Genomic DNA, 27,585 nt, shown 5'->3' with positions numbered 1-27,585 from the left:
CTTTTGGGATCTGTAGACTTTTGAGATCTTGACTCACTTCATTTGTAGGTTCTTCATTAAATTTGGTAAAATTTCAACTGCAATTTCCCTATTTTTTTGCTGTTCCATTTTTTTTTTCTCTTTCCCCCTCTGGAACTTCAATTGCACATATGTTAAACCATTTCTATTGTTTAGAACTGATGCTTTGTTCTTTTTTTCAATCCTTTCAATTTCTGTTTTTACAATTGGATAGGTTTCCCCCACCTGTATTCAAGTACTCTAAACTTTTCCTCTGCAGTCTCCACACTGCTGTTAATCCCATCTATTAAACTTTTCATGCAGGAAAATTATACTTTTAATCATGATATTTCCATTAATAACTGGATAAAAGATTCATTTATATATATATATATATATATATGTATTTTTTTTTGAGACACAGTCTCGCTCTGTTGCCCAGGCTGGAGTGCAGTGGCACAATCTCGGCTCACTGCAACTTCTGCCTCCTGGATTCAAGTGATTCTCCTGCCTCAGCCTCCTGAGTAGCTGAGATTACAGGTGCCTGCTACCATGCCTGGCTGACTTTTTTGTATTTTTAGTAGAGGTGGAGTTTCACCATGTTGGCCAGGCTGCTTTTGAGCTCCTGACCTCAAGTGATCCACCCACCTTGGCCTCCCAAAGTACTAGGATTACAGGCATGAACCACTGTGCCCGGCCCATATCCTTTTTTTTTTTTTTTTTTTTTCTGAGATGGAGTCTTGCTCTGTCCCCAGGCTGGAGTGCAGTGGTACAATCTCGGCTTACTGCAAGCTCCGCCTCCCAGGTTGATGCCATTCTCCTGCCTCAGCCTCCCGAGTAGCTGGGACTACAGGTGCCCGCCACCACGCCTGGCTAATTTTTTTTTTTTTTTGTATTTTTAGTAGATATGGGGTTTCACCGTGTTAGCCAGGATGGTTTCGATCTCCTGACCTCGTGATCCACCCGCCTCGGCCTCCCAAAGTGCTGGGATTACAGGCATGAGCCATGGTGCCTGGCTTTTATTTAATTTATTTATTTATTTTTGAGACAGAATCTTGCTCTGCCACCTAGGCTGGAGTGCAGTGGCATGATCTTGGCTCAGTGCAACCTCTGCCTCCTGGGTTCAAGTGATTCTTCTGCTTCAGCCTCCTGAGTAGCTGGGATTACAGGTGTGCGCCATCATGCCCAGTTAATTTTTGTATTTTTAGTAGGGACAGGGTTTCACCATGTTGGTCAGGCTGGTCTCGAACTTCTGACCTCATGATCCACCCACCTTAGTCTCAAAAGTGTTTGGATTACAGGCATGAGCCACCATGCCTGGCCTATTAGAAAATATTTTAATATAAATTATCATGAAAACATTTCAAAATTTGTGGAATATAACTAAACATTCTTCCTATATAATTAATTTTTTAAATGCCATATTAGAGAAGGAAATGATTTAAAAACAGATCACTGATTTTAAACCATTTTCCTTCTCTAATGTAGGTATTTAGAGTGATATTATTTCCTTTTACTACTTACTTTAAATTCACTTCTTCTTACCTATGTTACTTCCTTTTTCTACTTACTTTGAATTTACTTCTATCTCACTGAGATTAAAAGATAATAAGGGAATATTACAAATAACCTATGCCAACACATTTGATAACAGATGAAATGGACAGATTCCTTGAAAACTGTAGTTTATCAAAACTGACTCAAGAAGAAACAGAAATTCTGAAAAACTCTATAACTACTGAAAAAATTTAATTTGTTACCAAATATCTTTCTACAAAGAAAATTCCAGATCCAGATGGTTTCACTGGTGAATTTTATCAAAGTATATTATAAGAAGAAAATAATACAAATGTCACAGAGATTCAGAAAATAGAGGAGGAGGAAGGGGGAATGCTAAAACTTATTTTTTGAGGCCAATATTATTACCCCAATAACAAAACTAGACAAATAAATTACAAGAAAAGAAAATATTATGCCAATATCTTTCATATATATATATACACACACACACGTACATATATGTAAACACTCAACAAAACATTAGCAAATTGAATTCAACTGAACATAAGAAGAATAGTATATAAGGACTAGTAGGATTTATCCTAGGAATGCAAGGTTGGTTCAAGATTTAAAAATAAATCAATGTACTTTGCCACATTAACAGAATAAGGAGACAGTCATATAATCATTTTAACAAAGGCAGAAAAATCATTCTGCAATACTCGTTCTTCAAAACTCAATTCATAATAAGAACTCTCAGCAAACTAGGAATAGAAAGGATATTCCTTAACTTGATAAAGGCTGTCTATGAAAAACTTAATAGACAACATAATACTTAATAGTGATTGACTGAATGCATCCCCCCTACAATGACTGAGAATAAAACAAGAGATCTGCTCTCACCATATGTGTCTATTATCGTACAGGAGGTCCTAGCCAATTCAGTACAGCAAGAAAGAGAATTTTTTAAAAAAATAAGCATGCATTTTGGAAAGGAAAAAAAGTCTTTATTTGCAGCAGCATGATTGTCTATATAGGAAACCATAAAGAATCTTCAAAAGTCTTCTAGAGTATAATGAATGAATTATAAATATATAATTTATATACTGACAAGGTCAGTTTACAAAAGCTCAATAGTATTTGTCCATACTAACAATGGTTTGGAAGTTGACTTTTAAAAAAAATGGAAATTGAAATTAAAACATTTTAAATACCATTTAGAGTAATACAAAATAATTCAAAATAAATTTAATAAAAGTTATGTAAGTTATAAAAAGTCAAAACATTGCTAAGTGCAATTAAAGATCTACACAAATGGAGAGATATACCATATTCATGGATTGGAAGACTCAATATTGTTAAGTGTCCCTTTTCCTCCAATTGATATTTAGTAGGGGTTGGTAAACTATGACCATTAGGCTGACTGCCTATTCTTGTAAGTAAAATTTTATCAGAAAATAGCATGTCCATTCTTTGATGTATTGTCAATGGCGGTTTTGTACTTCAATGGCAGAGTTAAATACTTGTGCTAGAGACTATATAGTTCTCAAAGACTAAAGTATTTACCATATGGTCCTTTAAGAAAAAGTTTGCCCACTCCTAATCTATAGATTTAATGCAATTTCAAACAAAATCCCAGGATTTTTTATCTATTGTATCATTGATTTTACTTTGTCAAGGTTTATAACATTTATGAATTCTGTAATCTTAATTCATATAGTTATTAAAGTGTATACATCTTAATTGATTGCTTACCCTCAGTCTTTTGTTTAACCACAACTTCTCTAATCTCATGTTTTTAAAAACTTTAATCATTTTTTAAAATTTTTATTTTTAGTTCTGGGGTACATGTGCAGGTTGTGCAGGTTTGTTACGTAGGTAAACATGTGCCATGGTTGTTTGCTGCACCTTTCAACCCATCACCTATGCATTAAGCCCAGCATGCATTAGCTATTTTTCCTAACGCTCTCCCTCCCCCTACCCCATTCCCTGACAGACCCCAATGTGTGTTGTTCCCCTCCCTGTGTCCATGTGATATAATTGTTCGGCTCCCACTTATAAGTGAGAACATGTGGTGTTTGATTTTCTGTTCCTGCATTAGTTTGCTGAGGATAATGGCTTCCAGCTCCATCTATGTCCCTGCAAAGGACATGATCTCATCCCTTTTTGTGGCTGCATAGTATTCCATGGTGTATATGTACCATGTTTTCTTTGTCCAGTTGATGCGCATTTCAGTTGATGCGCATTGTTGATGCGCATTTCAGTTGATTCCATTTTTTAACTAGATTTTTTTTTTCAAAAAGTTATCTTTACCACAAGAAGAATCATAAAGGTTATATTTTATGAATTCTTGCATACTTGAGAATGCTTGTGCTTTGCCTTTATACCCAATGGCCATCTTAGCTGGGTATAGAATTTCTTGGCTACATTTTTCTCTCCCTTAGCCATTGCAGCCATTGCTCTACTGTCTCCTGAAATTGAATGCTACCTTTCATCACAACTTCTCTTTCTTTTATCTTTGGTTAGCTGGACTTTATTATCAAGTATTTTTTCTGTATGCCCAGAATTAGTTCATGTTTGAGAATGTTGGCCTGTTGCCTTTATACTTGAGCAACTTGTCTGTTTTTATTGTCATACTTTTCCACCCACAGGTTCTTACCTCCAGAAGTTTGTGTTGTGATATTGAATGAAACTGTGGAGTCATCTGATAACGGCCTAACTTGTTTTTTGCTGCCTGGATGGCTGAAAATGCCTCTTTATCTTCAAAGTTCAATAATTTGACCAGGATTTGTATCAGTGTGGCTCATTCTCCATCACCTTACCCTGGAAAATTATTTGCTGCTCATTTGGCAAATTCATCTTTCCTTTATATCAGGGAAATTGTCTTCTGTTACATCTTAAAATATAATTTATGTTCCATTGTTGAGTTATCCTCTTCAGGGCCACCAACTACCTTTCTTGAATCATTTTGTCCCTCTATTACCCTCTCTCTGATTGTTTCAACATCTTTGCCTTTTTTCTCTGATTTGCTTGTTTCTCATTCCTTGGTTTTAGCCATTTTCTCAAATAAGCAGGAGACATTTAAAAAGGTAAGGCCTGAAAAACTTTGTGTGTCTCTTGAAACCCTGTGTCCCTTGTTCCCAAGGGGTCTTTCCTAGGATGTCCACCCATACCCTTTTCCACCATACCTTAAAGCAGCACACTTTCACCAGTTTTTATGTTTTGTTGTTGTTTGCTATACTCACTGGTTGATTAAGGGAAGGTCCAATAAAAATTACAAGGCATACTAAAAGGCAAAAGCCAGTTTGAAGAGACTAAACTAGTATCAGAATCAGAGTCAGATATGGCAGGAATGTTGAAACTATCAGACCAAGAATTGCAAGAACAGATGGGTAATGCAAGCAGAGATATGAAAGATTCTGAGAAAGAATTTAAAAGAAATGCTAGATATCAAAAACACTGTCACAGAAATGAAGAATGCCTTTGACGTGTTTATTAGTAGGCTGGACATGGCCTACTAATTCTGAGCTTAAGGATATGACAATAGAAACTTCCAAAGCTGATAAGCCTTCAATGGATGTGCTTAGGATTCTGTCAACCTGCCCTCTCCCCACAATACGACTTCTACCATGCAGAAGTGTGTTCAGGAGCCATGCCATGACTCCCGGGGATCGGTTTCCCTTGCTTACTTCAGTGAAAATATGAGCATGGCAGGCAGCTATCCCTTTAAGTCATTGCCTGGATGCTGCTGGCAGACTCTCACCAGTTTTCATGTTTTGTTGTTCTCTGTGCTCACTGATTAACAAGGGGAAGCCCAGGTCCTTTCCATTCCACCACGTTTACCTGGATGTCCCAGGGGCATTTTTTTTTTTTTTTTTGAGACGGAGTCTCACTCTGTTGCCCAGGCTGGAGTGCAGTGGTGCGATCTTGGCTCACTGCAAGCTCTGCCTCCTGGGTTCACGCCATTCTCCTACCTCAGCCTCCCAAGTAGCTGGGACTACAGGCGCCCGCCACCACACCTGGCTAATTTGTGTATTTTTATTAGAGACGGGGTTTCACCGTGTTAGTCAGGATGGTCTCAATCTCCTGACCTCGTGATCTGCCCGCCTCGGCCTCCCAAAGTGCTGGGATTACAGGCGGGAGCCACAGCACCCGGACGTCCCAGGGGCATTTGAAACTGTCCCTGAAGCAGCAGTGTGGACTGGATTACAAGGAGGTCAGGTGGCTAGGACGTAATGCTTCCAGGGAGGTAAGGAGACCATGGTGGGGAGGAGAGGGTCTGGACATAGAAGAGGGAGCCCCAGAGAGGGAGCAGAAGGGACAGGAGGGCTGTGTGGCACTGATTAGGCCTCCATCATGCCCTGTCTTGGAAACATCTCTGTGGCTCCCTGGAGCTGCCTCTCAGATCTGTTGCTTTGTTTGACCCTTCGTGTGCTTGGGTCCTGCTGCCCCGGTTGCACTGCCCGGTTCTGGGGGGCAGGGTGGGGTCTTGGGGTCTGCTCTTTCTGTAGGCCCCAGCCCTGACCTTGTCGGTGGTTAGAGTGGGACATTGGTCAAAGTTTGGACTGGCTTTCATCTCTGACTGCTGCAGACCACAGGCCTGACACGGCTCTGGGACGAGGGCATTTCCCAGACACATGATGTCTGTATAGGCTTCCTATGAGGACCTCCCCCCATCCCCAGCAGTGGCCAAGCTCCACATCTGTCCACATGGTCTCCAGCTGTCTGCTCCACTCTGCCCTGCTCCTGGCAGGGACTGAATGCCCCTGGGCTGCAGGAGCGGGACTGGCACTTCTCACGGGCATGGAGGACCAACTTTCCATCCCACGATCAACTTAGCATGGGCCGTGTACCTCCACGTAAATTAGTCTTGGACATTTGTGAGAGTGATGGCTCAGTGGCATCATTCCTGTGTTTGCAACAGTTAGATTCTTTCATGCACCCAGCATTGCCCCACACCTACTCTGGGTGGGGCTCAGGTGTGAAGGATGCGGAGATGTGAGAGCCCAGGCTCCTGCCCTCAACGCACTGTCCACATGACATGCAGTCCATACTGGGTGGGTGACTCTTGAGTGTGGCGCTCCCGCCACCGAGCTGAGCAGGAGTTGAGGGGTTGGAGGGGTGGCAAGGGGTGAGGCAGGAGGGGTCTCTTCACCCCCACTGCCCTGCCTCCCTGTGGTCTCAGCCCTCCCAGATGGTCTCCTCAGTCCCTGTGGACATGGTCAGTGCACCCACACCCCACGCCCACACCCCACACCCACATCCCACGCCCTCACCCCACACCTTGACTTGGGCAGCTGCCCTTGCCAGGTGGCTCTCTCCTCTCCTCCTGAACTGGACAGGTCCTACCACCAGGGAATGCCCAGTTCAGGTTCTGCTTCCTGCAGGAGGCCTTGCTGCACCAGATAGGATTTTGGCTGCAAGCAACAGAAAGCGGTTCCGATTAACTTAGGCAAAAAGGAGTTTCCTGCAAGCTGCTGGGGCACCGTACCCGCCTAAAGGAAAGCCGTGCTGCCAGGCCTTGGGAAGGAGACTCAGCGCAGCACTAGCAGCCCCCCTCCCCGGCCCACTGGAGGGCCAAGTCTCTGGGGGGAGAACATGACAGGTGGGTGCTGAGCCACACCCTGTTCCCGGGCACTGGGGAATGGGGAGAGGTTGTGGAATTGCTAGCCTCACCCAGGGGCAGAAAGGCCAGGAGGACAGGGCAGCTGGAGAGGGAGTGAAGTGACATCCGCTTCCTCCTGTGAGCCTGTGACCCGTTTCGTGCTCTCCCTACACAGGCGTGGAGGGCTAGAGATGCCCCCCTGAGTCCTCTCCTGCCTCTTCCTGTGAAGAAGGCCTCCCGCTGGCTGCACGTTTCCTCACTGTTTGCCGGGACTGGCTGTGCAATTCCCCGCTGCGCCCGTCCCCAGCGCTCCACACAGGAGCTCCGCGAATGCTGGCTTGTTAACCGGATAGCTTGACACTCTAATCAGTACGAATTCACCTTCTCAGCTGAGAGGTTAGGAAAGTGTGGAAGGGGAGGGCTGTGGGACGCCACTCCCCACACACTGTTGTGTGGCCTGGGAAAGCTGCTTCACCCCCTTGTGCGTCGGTTTCCTCATCTGTGAAACAGGGTAATAATAAAGTGTCTCTTAGAGTGGCTGCAAGGATGCCATTGATGAATCCTTTTAAATGGCTGAGGTGGAGCGTCAGCCACCACGCACCCAGCAGCAGACGTTCCCTTGTGTCCGGCAGGGTCCGGCCTGCATTTTTACTGAATTCTTATTCCTGTTTGCCAAAAGGGATGGGAGGAGCTGAGTCGAGTGAGGACCTTGTGCCAGACCTGGGGCTCCGTGCCCACAGCCCAGGAGATGGGAATCACAGGAATATGACCTCTGGTCTTGGCTCTGGCTCTGGGGGGCAATCCTGGGGGGACTCTGTCTTGGGGCAATCTTCTCTGTGGGGGGCAGAACCCGTGCCAGCCTCGGTGTCTCCTGGATTCATTTTCTGGGGTTGCCATAATAACCACAAACTGGGGGGCTTCAAATATCAGACACTGATCCTCTCCAGCCCCGGGAACCAGAAGTCCAGACCACGGTGTCGGCGGAGCCCCCCTGAATGGCTGAGGGAGGCTTCTCCCTGCTTCTGCGGCTCCTGTCACCTCCAGGCATTCCTGGGCTGTGGCCACAGCACCCCAATGCCTCCTCCCCTCTTAGAATGATGCCCATCACTGGACTTGGGTCCACCCTACTCCAGACAGCTTCATCTCTATCTTCACCTTCATCACAGCCACAGAGACCCTATTTCCGAATAAGGTCATATTCTAAGGCTCCAGATGGACATGGATATGTGGGGGACATAATTCAATGCACCGCACCTCCCAACACTCACACAGCCCACGTGAATGTTCCCTTCCCTGCTCTGTCCCATCCTGAGAGGTTGAGGGCCTGGCCTTCAGCCTGAGCACCCTGAATCCCCGGGGAAGCTGAATCCTGTCCGCCCCCCTGGGTCCCAGCCCTGGCTTGGCCACATCCTGGGAGGCGGAATGTTCAGGTTCCCGCGGGTGCTGAGTGCGCAGAGAGTGGCAGCAGGGTGGGTGTGAGAGTGATGCCCGTCCCAGGGGCCAGATGCGAACCGTGCAGGAGTTGGGCATCCTCAAGCTCACCCAGTGACCTTGACTTTCCAGAGCCCCAGTGGGGAGAGTGGGAGACCGAGGTCCCAGGATGCAGGGCGTGGTGGGGCATGGGTGGGAGGGGACGACAGGACCTCAGGACAGTGCCGTCACCTGCAGAGGTGCACTGGGCAGGCCACCCTGATCAGCAGCCAGGACCTGGCCCGGTGCCCACCCCATCCCAGGGTTCCCACCTTGGGGCTGTGTTCTTCATCTGCAGGGTGAATTCTGAGGTCTTGGACAGCCCTTTTGCTTGGGAGTGAAGATTCGTGTCCCCCCTCCAGTTCATCCATGAAAATCTAATCCCCACAGTGATGTACTAAGCTGTGAAGCCTTTAGGAGAAGATCAGGTCATGAGGATGGGCCCTCATGAATGGGATCACTGCCCTTTTAAAGAAACCTCAGAGAGGTCTCTTCCTACCACAGGAGGATACTATGAGAAGGCAGCTGTCTGCAACCTGGAAGAAGGTCCTCACCAGAGCCCAGCCATGCTGGCACCTCAGTCTCAGACTTCCAGCCTCCAGAACTGTGACAAATAAGTGTCTGCTGGTTCTAAACCACCCAGTCTGTAGGACTTTGTTATAGCAGGTGAGCTGACACCTTTGCAAGAACTGGGTGGTTTTGTATGGTGCTGAGGTGTGCAAAGGCCACACCCCCTGCCTCCTAAGTTCATTCATTCTGGATTCATTTTCTGAGGCTTTCAATCAGGCTCCCTCTCAGCTGACCTCAGTGTATGATAGGGGGTTCCCTTTTCCGAAACCCTCTGAATTCTCAGGGCATGGGAACGGGCCTCCTTGGACACACGGCCACCTACTTACACTCAGGAACCTCAACCGTGAGTCACAGCAGACCATGGTCTCATCCCATCCTCACCACCACCCACAAGGGAATCACTGTATCCCCACTTAACAGCCAAGGAGACTCAGGCTCAGTGATTTGCTGCTGTCAGCCAGCAAGGTGTGGTGAGGCCAGGGCTGCCCTCTCTGCTCAGCTCCCTGCACTGGCGTCTGTGGTGACAGTGTGCCACCATCGGCTCCTACACTCCTCTGTGTTCCAATGCCAAACCTCAGAAATGTGGGCTTCTGGAATCCCAGGGCACAGCTGAACCCCATTTCTTAGTTGCCAGTGTTCACCAGCTTAGCAGGGTCCTCAGGCCTCCCAGCTCTGGGTCCTCCTGGGCACTTGGCAACATTGCTTTCTTGTCCTTCCTGGGAAGAGAGGTGGGAGACGACTCTCCAGACCCGAAAGCAGGGCCACTGCCATGGTAGCCGCCAGGGGATGGGCCACGGGGCCAGCCACACGGGCCTCCTGCTGCAGACACCATTAGCCCTAATTGCTTGGTGCCGGCTTTGAAGGACACAGCCTCATCCTGCGGCTCGGGCAAGGCCTTCCTCGACCTGTCATCAGTAATTGAGGGTAAATTAATATTTACTAAGCAGAGTCTCATGGAGAGGGGTGGGCATGAGAAACCAGGGGGATGTGTGGACCAAGGACCTGCGGCCCCGCTCCAGGCTTTCTCCTCTGTTGACAGGACCCATGGGACGCCGGGCAGAAACCTGATCTGCAGCTAATTGCCAGGGGCAGCCTTTCTCAGAGTTCTCCTGCCCCCAACTCCTAGGCTCAAAGGGTTTCACGTGCCCTTGGAGGCAGTTGTATACATCAAAGGGAGCTGGAGGAAGCCTCTTGATACCCCATTTCCCTTGCACACCCCACCCCCACCCACAGCCAGAGCAGCACCCCCGGGCCCCGGCGGGGCTGGAGGAGGCTTCCCACTGTCTAAAGCAGCTCACCCATTCGCCGTGTGCCCCTTATGCATTTTGTTTCGTCCCCACGGCTCCCAGTGAGGGACGTGCTGCATCAACATTTTTTTGACCAGGGGACCGAGGCTCAGAGAAGTTCAGCAAGTCCTGCGAGGTCACACAGCCGGTTTCGTGGCAGAGCTCGGATCCCAAACCCGACTGCATTCGTTTCCTGGGGCTGCCAAACAAAGCAACCCAAACTGGGTGGTTTCAAATAATGCATCCTGGAGGCTCCAAGTCCAAAGTCAAGAAGCGGTGGGACCCCGCTCCCTCTGGGGCCCTGGATGGACTCCTCCCACACTTCTCTAGCTCCTGGTGGTTTCCAGCCATCCTAGGCCTCCCTCCAGTCTCTGCCTCTCTCAATGCAGGGTCTTCTCCCTGGGTCTCTGCTTCCAGATTTTCCTCCTCTCATCAGGACACCCGTCATTGGACATGGGACCCACCCTATTTCAGGATGACCTCGTCTTAATGACATCTGCAAAGTCCCTATTTCCAAATAAGGTTCCAATCACAGGCATGGGGGTTTAGGACTTGGACATGTCTCATGCCCCAACTTTCTGGGAAAATCACTTACTCTGGGCTTGTTCTTGTCTCTAGAAGAGGAAAGCAGTGAGGGATGCTGAGAATTAAAATACGCTTCCCCCACCACAACCCACCACCCTCCTGCCCCTTGCCGCAGCCTCGGGGGGCTCCACTGCCATTAGGGCCCTTCCTTTCCCACGTCTGGGACTGAGGGCCGGGGTAGAGGAGGCAAAGCTACAGCTTTGGACCTGGGTGACATCTGGCACAACTGCTGAGACTCCCTCTCCTGAGCGTGCTCCTCAGGCAGAGTGCGAGGTGGGTGGCCTCAGACCCTTTAAGCTGCAGCGTCACAGGCCAGGGGTTAAGTGGCTGCCCCAGGGCACACGGAGTCCTTGGTGGCAGGCTGGACAGGAACAGGGGTCAGCTGACCCCAAGCCAAGACCTCTTTACAAAGCAAATCCAGCAGAAAGCCGGCGACCCCCGCACATTGTTGGCAAGCCTCAGAAGTCACAAGAAGCCTCCTGCCAGGCCGAAGTTTTGCAGAGGGGGCACCCCCTGGCTTATCCAGCACCCAACTCCCGTCCATGCAGTGTGGGAGCCACATTCAGAGGCTCCTGGGAACCTGGAGCTGAGGCTGGGGTGGGGGGCCAAAGAGGAGGACCTCAGGGGCCAGGAACTGCCTGCGTGGTGCTGAGGGGAAGCTACGGGGAGGCAGCTTTTCGCTCTGCCTGGAGGACATTTTAACAAGCAGCATTGTCTGGGGATGGGCGGGCCTCAGAGAGCGGAGAGCTCCCTGCACTGCAGACCTCCAGCAAGTGCCCTGGAGCCGCTCATGTGGACAGAGAATCCTGTGGGGCCCCTTCTAGCTCTGACCACCAGGGATCCTGGGCTACCTCTCCCCAGCCCAACATTGCTAACCAGCTTCCCTCTCTCCCCAGGCCACCCTGGGGTGGGCCCTGAGCCCCAGGCCAGCCTGGTCTCTACCCAGCACCCGGGGCCCCAGTGCCTGAGCTCAGGCCGCTTCCTTAGCCCCTCCTGATACACAAGTCAGCGCCGCACCCTAGGGACCAGACACTGGCGGGATCTGTGCTTTTGTGAAACAGCAAATCAGATTAAGTTAGAACCAACCTGGCTGCGTGGGAGATGGACAGACAGGGGCTGATGTCATCTGATGTAGCGTCTGGGGAGGACACTGGGGAGGCGTCCTGGGGTCAGAAGGCAGGAGGCGCCAAGAAAGAACGGCCAGGCCCCTCACTGAGCACACGGGGAAACTGAGGCACAAGACCTCACAGTGCTTAATGTCATGTCCATCAGAGTCCCCATCACCCAAGGGTGCTTTGGTTCAAGCTTTTGGGCCCAGCTTTCCAGGCACAGCCTCCACAGACTCCTCCCACAGGCCCCCTCCTGCCAGCCCCCGTCCTCTGCCCTGCCCAGACGGAGTAGCCAAGGCAGCGCCCCTGCCCCAGGCAGGCTGCATCAAGTGATGCCAGGTCTGTCAGATGCCAGCCCCGAGTTGGCCGCACGTCCTTCACCGACAGGACCTGTCCTGCCACGTTGTCCCTGTCTCCTGCCAGCCGTGATCTTAGAGGGGCCAAGTCTTGTCTGCACTGCATCTCCACTGCCTGGTCCCAGGCCCAGCCATGCATGGACTCCAGGCCCAGGCTTCCCCCTCTGCAAGGCACAAGGGGAGGGACACAGATGTTTTGTTACTGTTGTTTTGTAAAGAAATTAACCGGGGTCTGTGGGCCACAGGCAGCTGGCCACTGCTGCTTCTCTCTGTCTCTCTCTGTGTCCATCTATCAACAAGCCTCTATACTTAGTTCATTTAGAACAAGGGAGCAAAAGATGACAATAGACAGAGGTGACCTAAAGGCTAGAGGAAGAGTGGAGGCCATGGGAGAACAGGACCGGGAGAAACAGCACCCAGTAAGCTGTTTGGCCTCACACTCCTGCTAGTGGAGAGCTGAAAATGTGGCTCTGAGGTCCCCAGCAGCCGAGGCAGTACATCCACAGGAGAAACAGGAGCTGCTCAGCCTCTTCTGACCCTGACACCCAAACGGGAGACACAGAGGCCCCTGTGGTGCAGGACCCAGGCGGTGGCCACCAGGGCAGGGAAAGTCTGAACCATCATTGGTCATGAAAAATGTCACCCGTCTCGGCTCCACAAATGAACAGAGGGCCAGGGAGGGGGCCTGAGGGGTTCTTTCCTTTGGTGGGAAGGTTGCTTTGTGAGTTGGAAAGCAGCTATGTGGAGTAGGGAGAATCATGGTTCAGGTGCTGTGCGCTGGCCAGGCAGCCACACGTGTGCTCTCCTGGACTGAGGTCACATCTCCCAGCTGGAGGATGAGCCAAGGCCAGTGGGTCCCCTCCTCTGCCAGACCTCACTGGGGACTTCCCCACAGACAGGCTTCACCCAGACGGGGACGCAGGGGCCTGGAACACTTGGGCTCACTTGAGATGAGCCAGGCTGATCTTACCCGAATTTACCCCACACAATTCTCAGGATGGTCATTTGGTGTGAGAGTTTCATTCCCATTACACAGATGAGAAGGCTGAGGCATCATCATATCTGGGCCAAAGTCTTTGTCTGGCTGCCTCCAGAGACAGCGTTTGGGATATTTTGTGAAGAAATGAACTTGAGCATTATGGGGAAAACAAAACAAATCAACCTAGAGGGAATCTAACACTGAGAATGAGAAAAGTGTGCAGGCAGCCTGGGCATCTTCATCAGGTCTCCCTCCGCCAGGCCTGTCCGGGGCAGTTCAGTGCACCTGGCCCCTCCTGGGGGCCTGGCCAGTCCCTGCTGTGTTCTGGGGTCTGCAGCATCCCCACTTGTGGGTGGTAACTGGAGCTGTCTTCCTGGAGTCTCTGTGCCTCTCCTGGGACCCTACGGCCAGCAGAATACCCCCTCCCTGCCAGCTCTCGGCTTCCCAGCTCTCTGCTCATTTGCAGAACAAAGATGACTGTCTCTCCTGCCTCTCTGGTCACCAGCACTGCTGGACCCCCAAAGTGGCCCTGTCATCCTCTCAGGAGTCCCTCCATGATAAATGAATTCTGCACCCACCAGAACCTGCCTGGCACCCAGAGCAATGGTATCACTTGGACTCTGCCATGAGTAATGCCAGCCCCCCTCCTCTGAGGACACACAGCCCTTGATCTCAACTCCCCAGGGCCAGTATTCTGCCCCATGGGCTCAAGTCTGACTCCCCGACCCAGACTGTGAGCTGCTGAGGGCAGGCAGTGTGTGTTCCCCACGGCTGTGTCTCGGGAGGAAGAAAGGGCTGGAACTCATGAACATCCAGTAGCGCTTCTCACCCAGTGGAGATTGGAGCTCACCCACTGCAGCCGCGGTGAAGGCACTAAGATCGCCCCATGACACACCTGTCCCGCAGCCTCTGCATACCAGTGAGCTTCTCTTAGTTCCTGGAAGAGGGCAGGCTCTCCCTCGGCCCAGCTTTTCTGTTCCCTCTGCCCTTCCTTGTTCCCACCTTCCGGCGGGAGATGCCTGCCTGTTGAGTTAAGTCCAGCTGCCTGCTGAGTCTCAACTTGGGGATCACGTCTAGACCACTTGGCTTCTCTGGTGTGGCCCATGCCAGGGCTTCCATGGTGGGCCCAGCACACCCTCTCCCAGCACCTGTGTCTGTTGGACACTGTGTGTTCTGGGGATGAGCAGAGCAGATGTCTGGTGAGGAAATTTGGCAGGCAAGTCTTAACCAGAAAACACTTCCCGTCCAGACGCCCTACCTGGGTTCACCCACACTTGTCTCGCTCTCAGAGGAAGAAAGCCTCCTCCCAGTCCCTGGCCACCTCTTTCCACCTTCCCTTTCTGTACAGCCCCTTCCCACCTCCTGGGGTCCCCACCTGTCCATTCATCCTGCCCTCTCCTCTTTCACCTGAGCTGGGACCAAGACCCCAGCACTGGGCTCTAGCTCCTGAAATTGCCTGGCTGTGCTTGGAGTTAAATGGGAAGACTGGCTGTGTTGAACATCCCTACATCCGACGAGGAGATCTGGGATACAGAAGGCAAGAAGCCTGCTGTCAATTCAGCAGCCACAGGCAGGGGACAGGAGGAAAAGGGCTTGGCTGGAGGTCAGGGGCCAGCTCTTGTCTCCCTCGCTCAAGGAATGAGCCCGAGGGATCTTGAGAGCCCTCCTTCCTGGGCCTCAGTTTTCACGTCTGAGCAATAAGGACCCGGAGTGAGAGCAGGGCTTCTCCAACCCAGGTCTAGCATGGGGCCTGCTCATGGTCCCCACGGAGCTGGGCGTGGCAGAGCCCAGGCTGGACGACAGTGCAAGATTTCAGTGTTTTTGCAGACGTGGATTTAACTCCAGAAACTTTTTCTTCACGCTCATCCAAAAGAGGACAGAACAAATGCACCAGCAGAGGTGAAAATGAACCAAAACTCAGAGGCAGCGGCTCCTCCCTGGCCACTCCCAGGCCAGCATCGGGCTCCCTCGGGGCAGTGGGTGCCCCTGGAAGGTTTGTGAGGGATCGCTCATGTGTCCTGGGGCTGTGCTGCTGGGCGGTGCCACAGCGCTGCACTGAGTCCACTGCAGTGACCTCTGACCTCCGACCTCTGACCTCCAACCCTGGGCAATGACCACCGTGCCGCGGGCACTTTGCAGGGGTGTCTCTAAGTGCTCAGCCACCTCCCAGGAGAGACTTCTTGCCTCCAGAAGCTGAGAGCATGTCAGAGCTGCCCAGGCCACACCTGCAGGGGGTGGGAGAGCTGGGGGGCTGCACCTGGCCCCCACCTCTGAAGGGCGTCTGCACCCAGCTCCTCCTGTTTTCCCTCCCCAGACCTGAATGGAGCTGCCAGAGTCACTGGACCCCCATGCGCAGAAGGGGCAGGTGCTGGGTGCTCCCCATGCCTGGGACCCCACTTGGGTGAGGAGAGAGGGAGGAGGGAGGGGACTTTTGTTTCTAAGAAGAGTGTGGTGATGTTCTTTAAAGCCGTGTCTGACCTGAAGTCAAGAGGGGGGCTGCTAAAGTGGGGTGTCTCCCCCTCCCTCGCCACCTCACTTCATCTCCACCCCATCCCCTCAAAGTCGAGGGAGGCGGTCCAGAGGCCCGGCTGCTTCACAAGCGAACTTCTCTGACCAAACCTCAAGACGTTCCCCCAAAACATGCCTCCTCTTGAGGTTCTGGAGTGGGGGCAGGAAGTCTGAGGGCATCTCTTAGGGACTCGGGGGCAAACTTGGAAGTCGGCAGGGAAGTGGCCCTTCCCTAATGCTCATGTGGCAACGCTTTCTCGCTCTTTCTCGTTCTCTCTCTCTCCCTGTCTCTCTCTGTCTCACACACACACACACACACACACACTCACACGAGTTGCCTCTTTCAGGATAATCATTTTAAGGAAAATTCCGTATAGAAGAATTTATGCTGCAATGTGCTTTGACGCCATCGGACAAGATAATTTCTGCCTCTTCCTCTCCTCCCCACCCCCAGTTAGGTCCACAAAGAGGTGCCAGGACCCCTCCCGGCAGCGCCAATGCCCCCACCAGGGAGGGGGTGGCTGGGTAGGAGCCGCAGTGAACGCCGGCTTTGTGGGGTTAATGCGATCCGTGTCTCGAACCTGCCTCCCCCTCCCGAGCGCCGAACTGGGCTCCTTCTCAGAAGGAGGCATTCGACCAAATGTTAATCCTCTCCACATGTAGAATGTTCCAGATAGCCCCGAGCTCAGGGTGCCTTTTGAACTTGTGAACAGAAATTGATTCAAGGTGACGAATTTGTAATCAGTTTATGATTGATGGGCCGCATTTCCAGAGAGGCAGCTCCATGTCCCTTCCTCCCGCCCGGGGAAGCAAATGTGTTTCACTTTATCTACCCTGTCCCGGGACCTGGAGGACCGGGAGAGAGAAAATAAAGTCAACTGCAATATTTAACTTGTATTAGAACAGATGCCAGTTAATTAAGGGATCAGTGGGAAGGAAGTGCCAAAATAGAGCTTTGGCCGCTTCTCCTCCCCGGCTGGACAGAGGGCAGATCGGATGTTAAACTATTACTGTGATTAGGTGAATAATGACTTTGGAACTAATTTCGCTGGGTTGGAAAGAGAGCAGGACTGGGTGAAAATAGAAACATCTGCTGAATATTCTAATTTCAAAGGATAATTGCAAAGTGCCCGCTCGGGTTCTTCCCCCCAATAACCCACCCTTGGTTTTTTCCTTTTTTTTTTTTAATAAAAAAAAAAATCAAAACTACCTTGAAGTGACTTTGAGTTCAGCTCTAGCAAAGTTCAGCTGTGAGGGTTCTCAGGGTGGGAAGGCTGGGAATGCCAACCAGACTCAGGATGGAGAAAAGCCAAAGAGGGGCTTAGGCCCGGCAGCTTCAAACAGTGAGGAGGGAGGGAGACGGGGTCCCAGCGGCAGGTCTGTGGGTCGCTGCTGCTCAGCGAGGGGTTGGCTGCCTGGCAGTGGGTGACGCCTGTGCCTTCCCTGGGTCAGGATGCCTCTGAGAATCTGATGGAAACTGACCCCACCCCTTACGATGACAGAGCGCGCACCCAGCCTAAAAACCTCTCTGGCAGGTTCACAGACCCCTGAAGTGGCGCCCTTTGCAGCCCCCTGCCCTGCCTTTGGCCGGCCCTCCCTTCCATTTCTGGGCAGCAGCACACTGGTGAAGCTACACCCGGGGACACGAGAACCCTGGACATGTATCGCTTGCCACTGTCTGGTGTAAACCCTCTCCTCAGGGCCGAGGCTCAGCTGCCCGCGTGAGGCCATCCCTGCGTGAGGGGGACCCACTCAGCTCGTGCCGGCTGGTCTGCACTGATGCCCACACACAGTGGTGCCGGGCCTTCGTACCTGCTGTTCCCCGTGCCTGGACCTTCCTTGCCTGAGAGACATCTGCTGGTTCTTCGAGGGTCAGTGCCCTGGTCCCAGGCTGTGTTGGGGCCTCCTGAGTCATAGAATCCTCTGCTGGGCTGGGGGCTCCTCAGGCCAGAGCTTTGCTGCCTTTATCTTGCCGCACAACTGCCTGGAGGGAGACCTCCCCTTTGGGCAGCTCAATGAATTTCCAAGCCATCTGCACCTCTGACACTCTTCCCTCCTCTTCTTTCTCCGTCTATTCATCCAGCAGCCCTCTTCTGAGTGCCCACTCTGTGCTAGACACTCTGCCTGGACTCTGTGCCAGGCCCCAGGGATCCTGGTGCTAGGGCAGACCCACCTCTGGCCTCACGGATGAAAAGGTGCCCTCACTGGGGGTCAGCAGGAAGGGGCCCTGCTGGGCCTGATCTAGAAGGGGGCGGCTGAGAAATGAACATTCCTGGGCTCTGATCCAGGGCTGGGGGTCACAAAGCCTGCCAAGGGGAAGTGGGTTCAGGGGGAGCCAGACACCAGTGTGGGAGTATGCTATGGGCAGCCCAGAGCATGTGCCAAGGCCCTGAGGTGAGCTTGGATCCGCCTTGAAACCAGACCCCTATGGAGCACGGGGTGGGGATGCAGGCTGGGTGCAAGGACCCCAGGGGGCAGGCATGCAGGCCACCTCAGCCTCTTTCCACGTGTCTGAGAACCGGGGACCCACATGGGGTGTGAATGGCGTTTCCAGTCCCCCCTGGCAGGGGAGCTGCTGGTGTGGCTGGAGGGTGGCGGTCAGATCTGCGTCCTCAGAGCAGGGCAGTAGCCCTGAGCCAGGAGGGACAGGCAGGGGCACCGGAAGAAGGGGGAATGTGGAGAGTGACAGAGGAGGATTAACCAATGGCCACAACCCTCCTGACCAGAGTGGAAACTGAGTCCAGGGCCACTGATCCCCCATCCGCCTCAGCAGGCCTGCAGCCAAGGCCGCGCTCCCCTGCCCTCCTCTGCCTCCTGGTCTTTCCACCATCCTGCCCCCCGACATGCGCCTCAGCCCAGCCTCTCCCTCACCCCGATCCCGCACACGCTGTCCCTGAGCGCTGCCTGGTACATGGCCAGTCGGGGCATCTAAGAAGAGGCGTCTGAGATGCTCCCCAGGCACTAGTCTGAGGAGACCAATGTGGGTGCCCTTCTCGCACCCAGCAATGCTTTCAGGCTGGAAGAGACAGAAGGGTCCCTGCAGGCTTGTTTCTGCTTCCAGAAGACCAGCAAGTATGGAATATCCAGGGGCCTGACTCCAAACTGGCCCCAAAGGGGAGACAGGGGCAGGAAACGCCATCTCCACCCTCTGGAGCAGAGGCTGTCTGAGGAGGAGCCAGTCTGTGGGGTGCAGAGAGGCCAGTGTGGACAGATGGACCCGGGAAGGATCCAGACACGCACAGGGATGTGGCTCCGTGTCCCGGGCCTGTCACTAACTTGCTGCATGGCCCTGGACAAGCCACTTCATCTCCCTGGGTCCCCAGAGCAGTGTCCAGTGCATCTCTAAGGCCCTTCCAGCCATGGGATGGAGGTACCTTGAAGGCAGTCGGGCCTGAGAGTGGAGAGGTGGGGTGGGGAGCAGCTGGTCCTGCTCCGTGGCAAGTGCCTCACAGAGGCCAGGGCAGTGGTGGGGACCCAGGAGCAGGAGAAGCAGGAAGGACTGGAACAAATTGCCAACCTCTCCTACCCGCTGTGTACAAGGCCAAGGTCCTCGAGCACTGCTTTCTTTTCCTTTTCTCTTTCTTTTTTCTTTTTTTGAGATGGAGTTTTGTTCCTGTTGCCCAGGCTAGAGTGCCATGGCATGTGATCTCAGCTCACTGCATCCTCTGCCTCCTAGGTTCAAGCGATTCTCCTAAGAGCACTGCTTTCTTACTTGCAAAACTTTTGTTTTTGTACAAGAGAACAGGTGCTGCCACTTAGGAAAGCATAAAGTTGCCCTATGACCCAGCAATTCCGCTCTGAGCATGCACCCAAGCAAAGTTAAAACAACTTCCATACCAAAACTTGTACTTGAATGTTCATAACAACATCCATAATAGCCAAGAAGTGAAATGTCCCAAATGTCCATCATCCAGTGAATGGATACATAAATTGTTGTCTGTGCAGACAGGAAGACTATTTGACCCCAAGAGGAGGGCAGCACTGATGCCTGCTCCAGCACGGGCGCAGCTCACGACATCATGGAAAGGGAAAGGGGCCGTCACAAAAGACCACATGCTATATGGGTCCATGTATATGATAGGAACAGAACAGGGGGTCTGCAGGACAGAAAGTAGATGAGCGGTTGCTTCAGACTGGGGCAGGGGAGGGTGGGGAGGTGATAGCTCAGGGGTGGGGGGTTCCTTTCGAGGTGATGAAAATGTTCTAAAATGGACTGCAGTGATGGTGGCGGGTATTTGTGAATATAGTGGTGTTATCCTTATTCATGGGGGATGCATTCCAAGACCCCCAGTGGAAGCTTTGAATGGCACTGAAGCCTACGTACACTGTGATTTCAATCTGGTAACTGAGGTGGCTACTAGATGATGGCTGGGCAAAGTAGCATGTACAGCATGGAGATGCTGGACAAAGGGAGGATGTCCTGGGCAGAACAGAATGGGGTTTCATCACATGGCACGGAATGGCATGCAACTTAAGACACGTGAATTGTTTATTTTGGGAATTTTCCATTTAATATTTTAGGACTAAGGTTGACCACGGGTAAGTGAAACCTCAGAAAGCAAAACTGTGGGTAAGGGGGACTGCTGTATACTAAAGCCATTGACTTGTGTACTTCAAAGAGGACACTGCTATCCGTTCCACTTTCCAGCTGGAGAGGCTGAGGCCCAGAGAGGTGACAGTGACTTGCTGAAAGCCCCACAGCTGGGAAGGGGCAGAGCCAAACTCCTGCTCAATGCCAAGGACATGGGGCTGGTTGGGGAGCGAGCTTCTGGGCCAGGGAGGTGCATGGGCTGAGGGGTGGGCAGGCCTCATGGAAGGGCAGACCGGGGTCCCTCCTGGTGGCCTCCTGCAAAGCCTCCCACTCCAGGCCCAGGACCTGCGGCTGCTGCAGATGCTCCAGCCAGTGAGAGCCATCGTCCACAGACCTGAGTGTCTCCTACAACTGTCTTGTTCCTCCCCATGGCCCAGAGACCAGCACAGAGCCTGGCCCAGCACCGATGGTGACCACATCCTGGGAGAGTGAAGGAGGAAGTGGCAGTGTGGGGAAGCAGAGTGTCCATTGGATCTGTCATCCTAATGGGGACGCTGTTAACACATAGGCTGGGGCAGCTGCAGGCCACCAGTCCTGCCCTGAGAGCATGGGGATGTGTGGTCATCCTGGGACAGGAAGGAGCACTTGGCCAGGAGTGCAAGGGAGGGGACTTGCCTGGAACAGTCCAAGAGGACTTCCTGGTGGAGGAGGTACTTGACCTGGGCTCCCTGGGGAAGCAGATCTGGGGATGTTGGAGTCATCCACCCGATAAGAGGGAATAGGGAGAAGGCCTGTGACTTCGGGGAGGCCAGTTAACCCCTGCTACCTCCATTGGAGGGCAGTGTCAGGAGGAACCCAAGCTTGTGGTTCTGCCTTAGGAGGAAGCCACAGAGCCTGAGATGCACAGGACGAAACACAAGTGCTCCCCCGCCTGCCCTGCCCGCCCCAGGGCTGCAGCTGATTAAGTGGACCATTGATTTTTTAAAATTGGATTTTAAGTGTTTAGAAAAAAATATCTCCTTTCCTTCATTTTGAAAGTGTTTGCATTAAGAGTGGAGAAGAGGACTGGGTAAGAGGCCCGGGCTGCCAGGGACCAGCGACAGGGCCAGGGTGTCTGCAAAGAAAGGAGACTTTCCTGAGTGTGCAGGTGCGGGTGTATGTATGTGTCAATGTGTGCATGTGCACAGGTATAGGTCTGTGTGCAAATGTATGTGTGTACCTGTGCGTATGAGTGTATAAGTGAATGTGTGCATGGTCTGTGCTATGTGCATACACACATGCCTGTACACGTGGTGTGTGGTGTGTGGAGGGGAAGAAAGCTGAACACATGCACCCTCCTTCCTCTGGGAGTGGCCGTCCTTGATGTCTCCGTAACTCTTGTACTCTTTGCACACAGGCGGCAGCAACTCTTCACACGTGAGCACAGCCCTTAGCAGAGGTGGAGACTCCTGCATTTGGCATCTCACGAGGCAGACTAAGTGGATGTTATTTGCCTTCACCAATTTTTGGAGAAGAGAAACCACAGCCAGGCAGGAGCAAATCACCTTCCCGGTGTCCCACGGAGGCAGGTGAAAGGCCGGGGGGAGCCATGGGACCACAGATGCCTGTGCTGCCCCCACCCAGGGAAAACCTTCCCTTGGCCCTGGACCACTTCACAACCAGAGGCCAATGCCACTCTCAGGAAGGGGCTTCTCACCCCTTTCCTGCCTGCAGCCTTCCTGGGCTGTGGCTCCTCCACCCAGCCTCAGGGCCCTTTTGCAGTTGGCCCTTGAAACCTGACCAGGTGTGACCCGCCTCCACTGCCCTCTCCCTTCCAGGGTCCTGGGGCTGTTCCTGCAGCTCAGAGGGCAGATTCCCGGGCCAGGAGGGGCCCTGGAGGACCGGCATCCATAGGAGCTGTTGGCAAGTGCTCTGTGATGTTGCCGGCTATGCTCGGGTCCTTGTCCGGGTAGCCTTGGCTCAGGGTCCCCACGGGCAGCCCAGGTCTGCTCTCTTGTTTACGGGGCATCCCCATCCCCTGGCCACTCCCTTTTCATGTGACAACACTGCCAACTTCAAACCTGGCTCCTGGCCTGGCCCACCCTGTTCCGTGTCCTGGGGAGGGGAGCCCTCATCTCAGGGGAGCCCTCTGTGGCAGTTCACGCTGTCAGTTCCTACTTCTGCTGGGAAACGCTCTCCTCCCTCCCTTTCCCAAAGCACCACCTTGTCCTGGTCCCCCACTCCCCGGCTGCTCCTCCTCACTCTCCCTTCCTCCACCTGCTCTCCCTGCTCCTCCCACTCTTCCTGCTCACCTGGGGCCAACTCACCTTCTCTCCAGACTTCACCTCCCTCCTGAATTCTGCCAGCTCCAGCTGCCTCCAGGGCTCTTCCACCCGGGAGTCCCACTGGCCCCTCAAATTCATCGAGGCTGAGACAGCCTGCCTCACCCCTTTGCCGGCACTCCAAACTTCCTGCATGGTGTCACCAGCCCCGCGTGTCCCCTTCCACATCCCCCGAGGGCACCTGACACTCCCATCTGGGCCCCGGGTCCTACTTCTCCTTCAGTAGCTCCTGTCCCCACTACAAGATGGGGGATAAGAAGAATCTAGAAAGACCAGTCAACAGCATTGGCAGAACTGAAAAGTCTGAAAACAGAAATGAAGGACTTGATCAATGGACTCACCAGTTCTCACAGTGGGGCAGAGCAGGAAATGATAATGGAGTGGGCGCTGGGGGTAGAAAATATTGAGGCAATAACAACATAAATGGACTAAGAATAAAAGAAAATAGTGAGGCTAAAATGAGGAGAGCAAAAAGAATGGAAAACACAGAGCAGAGAAAAAAATAATAAAAGCATGGGGCAGGATGTGAGGGCGAAACATACACGGACTGTGGTCTCAGAAGAGAAGAGGGGACAGAAACAGGATTTGAAGAAATCATGGCGGGGAATTTCCCAAAATGGAAGAAAACATATCAAGCTACCAATTCAAGAACCATAAAAAACCTTAAGAAGGACACGAAGAAAGCCACACATTAGCAGTGGAGCTGCTGATAACAAAAGACAGAGAAAACGTTAAATGCAGACACATTCCATTCCAGAAGGAAGGCATATCAGCCGGTCGTGATGTCACGCCTATAGTCCTAGCACTTTGGGAGGCCAAGGCGGGCGGATCATGAGGTCAGGAGTTCAAGACCAGCCTGGCCAACATGGTAAAACCCAGTCTCTACTAAAAATACAAAGTTTAGCCAGGCGTGGTGGCATGTGCCTACAATCCCAGCTACTTGGGAGGCTAAGGCAGGAGAATTGCTTGAACCCAGGAGGTGCAAGTTGCCATGAGCCAAGATCATGCCATTGTACTCCAGCCTGGGCGACAGAGCGAGACTCGTCTCAAACAAACCAACAAACAAGCAAACAAGCAAACAAACAGAAGGCATATCACACGGGCAACAAAAGGGGCCACCAAAAGACGGCAGTTGACTTCAACAAAAACAAGGTCTTCTTTAAAGTGATGAAGAAAAAGCCCCTTGTGAGCTCAGAATTCTATACCCAGCAAAAGATCTTCACAAATGAAGCAACATGAAGACATTTCCTAGTGAACCAGGTTGGAGAGACTCAGCTGTGAGTTGACCTGCAGAAAAAACAAAAAAGAAAAAACAAACGAACAAACAAAAAACAATAAAGAGAGGCTTCAGACAGAAGGGAGATAACGTCAGTTAGAAACAAAGAAAAAAAAGCATTGAGTGAAAGCAACAGAGAGGGCAAATGTGCAGGTGGATCTAAGTCAACATGGATTGCACAGACAATGGTTACTTTTAAAATACATGCCAAATTCAGATGAATAACAATAACACAAAAGGCTGGAAAAGGTTAAATGGAGTTGGCACATTCTGAAATCCTAGCATACTGGGAATGGGTGAAAGCACTTGTTTGTATTTGACTTTGATAAACCAAGAACGATACCAATCATAAGATAACCAGTGAGTTAAATAACTAATACGTGGGAGGCGGGGAAATTGACCTAAAGTAATGACTCTAGAAGAAGGCAATAAACAAGTTGGGGGGAAAGGAACAAAACAGGTTGGACAGTTAGAAAACAAATGTGAAGGTGGTAGACATAAGTAGCTCAATAATTACATTAAATGTGAATTGATTAATACTCAAAAGACAGGGATCAGCAGACCATATTCAAACACAGACACCGCCTGAAGAGACACACTTTTGGGCTGGGTTTGGTGGCTCACACCTGTAATCCCAGCACTTTGGGAGGCCAAGGCAGGCGGATCATGAGGTCAGGAGTTCAAGACCAGCCTGGCCAACATGGTGAAACCTCGTCTCTACTAAAAACACAAAAATTAGCCGGGCGTGGTGGCATGCCTGTAATCCCAGCTACTTAGGGGACTGAGGCAGGAGAATTGCTTGAACCCAGGAGGCGAAGATTGCAATGAGCTGAGATCATGCCATTGCACTCCAGCCTGGGTAATAGAGCGAGACTCTGTCTCAAAAAAAAAAAAAAAAAAAAGAAAAAAAGACACGCTTTTGTTACCAGATGGAAGTTCTGGACTATGAGTTGTCCAGGTTCTCGGTGTGTTGAACAAAGAATTGAATAAAACGCACAAATAAAGCAACAAGAGAACAAAGCAACAAAAGACAAAGCAACAAAAGAAAGAGTAATGAAAGCGCAGATTTACTGAAGAAGTGAAAGTACAATTCACAGAGTGGAAACGGGCTCGAGCAAGTGGCTCAAGGGCCTCTTCTACTGCGATGGTCCCCAGGGTTTTTATAAAGCCAAAAGAATTTGGCAACACCCCTAGGTGCCCCTTAGAGGCTTCGAACTGGTTATACCCTATGAAGGACTGGCTTGTTACCAATCAGAGGTTGAAGTGGAGACTTGGCCTGTGGTCCATCAGAGACTGCTGGCAACTTCTGTCTTGTTATTGCAGGAGTGAGGATGTGGCCTGGGTGCCGCCTAGTCCTGTCTAGAACCGGCTGCCCCTACAATTCTCTGGCTTACGTGAACCAGCTGCACCTGCTATTCCTTTCCTTATGCCCCAGCCCTTGGCTACCCCAATTCCCTATTCTCCTGCCTCACTTTAAATATAAGGATCCAGAAAACGTTAGAGTATAGAAAAAGATACATCACACAAACACTAGCCCCTAAAGCTGGCGCGGTTATACTAGTATCAGACAGATACCTTTGGGGCTTTAAGGTTTGGTAGCATACCTCAGTGCACAGCGATTGCCAGGCCGCTCCACCCAGGATACAGGGCGATTTGTGCACTTCACAGTGCGGCTTCAAAACATAAAGAGCAAGAATTCACAGAACTGAGAGGAGCCACAGCCCAGCCTCAACCGTAGGGGGTGTCTGGGCACAGCTCTGTCAAAATCCGATGCAATGAGCAGAGGACACTTTACCAGGACAGGAAGGGGCTGAGCAGCTGCTTCATAAACCCGACCCTACTGATGCGGGCGCAGTGCTGCACCCATCGCAGACCTCGTGATCTTCACATGGATGCGGGCGCAGTGCTGCACCCATCGCAGACCTGGTGATCTTCACGTGGATGCGGGAGCAGTGCTGCACCCATCGCAGACCTCGTGATCTTCACATGGATGCGGGAGCAGTGCTGCACCCATCGCAGACCTCGTGCTCTTCACATGGATGCGGGAGCAGTGCTGCACCCATCGCAGACCTCGTGCTCTTCACATGGATGCGGGCGCAGTGCTGCACCCATTGCAGACCTCGTGTTCCTCAGGGGCACATGGAGCTTTCCTAAAGCTTCCAATCTGTCCTCTACACCAAGGCAGGGCTTGTTCCAAAACGGACCCCCACCTGGTCCTTTTCTGCTGACAGCCCTGAGTTCCAGGGCCATCCTCCCTGCCTGGGCCAGATGCTGTGGCAGAGCTGTGAGCTCCAGGCCCTGCAGCAGGGCATCGGAAGCCTCCCGTGTCAATACAGTCACACGGTCACTAAATGCCAGGTGAGTACATCCCTGCTCTTCAAGGTCCTGCCATGCCTGAGTTTGGAGAAAGACCCAAAAGTCACATGTTGGCCCAAAGCCCTGCCTGATCCAACCCCAGTTTCCTGCGACCCAACTTCAACCCCCCAAGAGCACCTGCAGCCACACGGCCGTGGCATGTCCCAGAACATGCAGCACCACCCACCCCAGGGCCTTTGCTGCTTCTGCCTGCAACACGTGGTCCCAGGTGGCTCCCTGGGCGACCAGAAGTCCTTGCTCAGCTTGCACCCTGCCTGCTCCTTCAGCCCTGCAGCCTGGCCCACAAGCTCCCAACTCCTCTGCTGGGCTCCTGCCATCATCCCCTCCCTTCCTGTCATATCTACAGCGGCTGCAGTTTTCATAAATCCCTTGTCCTGTGATAGGAGGCAAGCTCCACGCAGGCAGAACCTACTGCCCTGTTCTCGAGAGCGTCCTTGTGCCCGGCACACGCTCAGCGCCCAGCAGGGGTGCAACAGCGCTTACTGAATGCATGGAAGGCGAGACCAGAAAGAGCACTGGGAGCTGTTGAGCTCCAGACACGGGGGCCAGCAGCCCCTCCCCTCACAGTGCGTATTGACCCCAAAGTCTTCCTGCTTCCTACTCTTTTTTTCAATCAGGCCTGAGAACATTGACATCTAGGCTCATTCTCCCTCTCTCTCTCAATGTCTGTCTCTCTGTCTGTGTCACCTGACCCTGAACACAAACACTGACACCTAGAACACGGAGTTGCAGACTTGGCCTCTTCCAACCACTTAATTTTGCAGATGTGGGCACCCCGGCCCACCCAATTCAAGAAGGGAACCTGTTTGCCTGGTGTCCCCAGGTGTCCTGCCTTCTGGTTCTGTGACCCATCGTACCCCCAGACTCCACCTGTGCAGCCAGCAGGCCCGGGGCAGGAGAGCACTGGTGCCCTCAGTGCAAAGGGACGGGTCAGGCACGCGTGCTCCAGTGTTCCAAACGGGGACAGAGACTGTGGGCCCCAGGGTCCTGTGTGGCTATGAGGCCTTTGCTGGTGACTCAGGAAGATCACAGGTGGGCAGGATAGGGGTCAGGAGAATGACCCCTATGGAAGGTCTGATTCATAAAGCAAGCTACAGCTGCCAGGCAGAGAGAAAG

At 52.1% G+C, this 27,585-nt stretch overlaps 6 annotated features.

The window, feature by feature from the left end:
* Positions 6,899-7,674: an enhancer, noted in NCBI's record as "H3K4me1 hESC enhancer chr4:8711370-8712145 (GRCh37/hg19 assembly coordinates)". NCBI's record gives its function as "activates a minimal SCP1, AML or CMV promoter by ChIP-STARR-seq in primed H9 embryonic stem cells {active_cell/tissue: H9 hESC(primed)}" and the evidence as "EXISTENCE:reporter gene assay evidence [ECO:0000049][PMID:30033119]".
* Positions 10,376-11,122: an enhancer, noted in NCBI's record as "H3K4me1 hESC enhancer chr4:8707922-8708668 (GRCh37/hg19 assembly coordinates)". NCBI's record gives its function as "activates a minimal SCP1, AML or CMV promoter by ChIP-STARR-seq in primed H9 embryonic stem cells {active_cell/tissue: H9 hESC(primed)}" and the evidence as "EXISTENCE:reporter gene assay evidence [ECO:0000049][PMID:30033119]".
* Positions 11,123-11,869: an enhancer, noted in NCBI's record as "H3K4me1 hESC enhancer chr4:8707175-8707921 (GRCh37/hg19 assembly coordinates)". NCBI's record gives its function as "activates a minimal SCP1, AML or CMV promoter by ChIP-STARR-seq in primed H9 embryonic stem cells {active_cell/tissue: H9 hESC(primed)}" and the evidence as "EXISTENCE:reporter gene assay evidence [ECO:0000049][PMID:30033119]".
* Positions 15,059-16,027: an enhancer, noted in NCBI's record as "H3K4me1 hESC enhancer chr4:8703017-8703985 (GRCh37/hg19 assembly coordinates)". NCBI's record gives its function as "activates a minimal SCP1, AML or CMV promoter by ChIP-STARR-seq in primed H9 embryonic stem cells {active_cell/tissue: H9 hESC(primed)}" and the evidence as "EXISTENCE:reporter gene assay evidence [ECO:0000049][PMID:30033119]".
* Positions 21,902-22,558: an enhancer, noted in NCBI's record as "H3K4me1 hESC enhancer chr4:8696486-8697142 (GRCh37/hg19 assembly coordinates)". NCBI's record gives its function as "activates a minimal SCP1, AML or CMV promoter by ChIP-STARR-seq in primed H9 embryonic stem cells {active_cell/tissue: H9 hESC(primed)}" and the evidence as "EXISTENCE:reporter gene assay evidence [ECO:0000049][PMID:30033119]".
* Positions 26,780-27,281: an enhancer, noted in NCBI's record as "H3K4me1 hESC enhancer chr4:8691763-8692264 (GRCh37/hg19 assembly coordinates)". NCBI's record gives its function as "activates a minimal SCP1, AML or CMV promoter by ChIP-STARR-seq in primed H9 embryonic stem cells {active_cell/tissue: H9 hESC(primed)}" and the evidence as "EXISTENCE:reporter gene assay evidence [ECO:0000049][PMID:30033119]".

Source organism: Homo sapiens, chromosome 4 (genome assembly GCF_000001405.40).
Source record: "Homo sapiens chromosome 4, GRCh38.p14 Primary Assembly".
NCBI lineage: Eukaryota > Metazoa > Chordata > Mammalia > Primates > Hominidae > Homo > Homo sapiens.
Note: the sequence above shows the minus strand (reverse complement) of the source record. Positions and strands in the feature narration are given on the sequence as shown.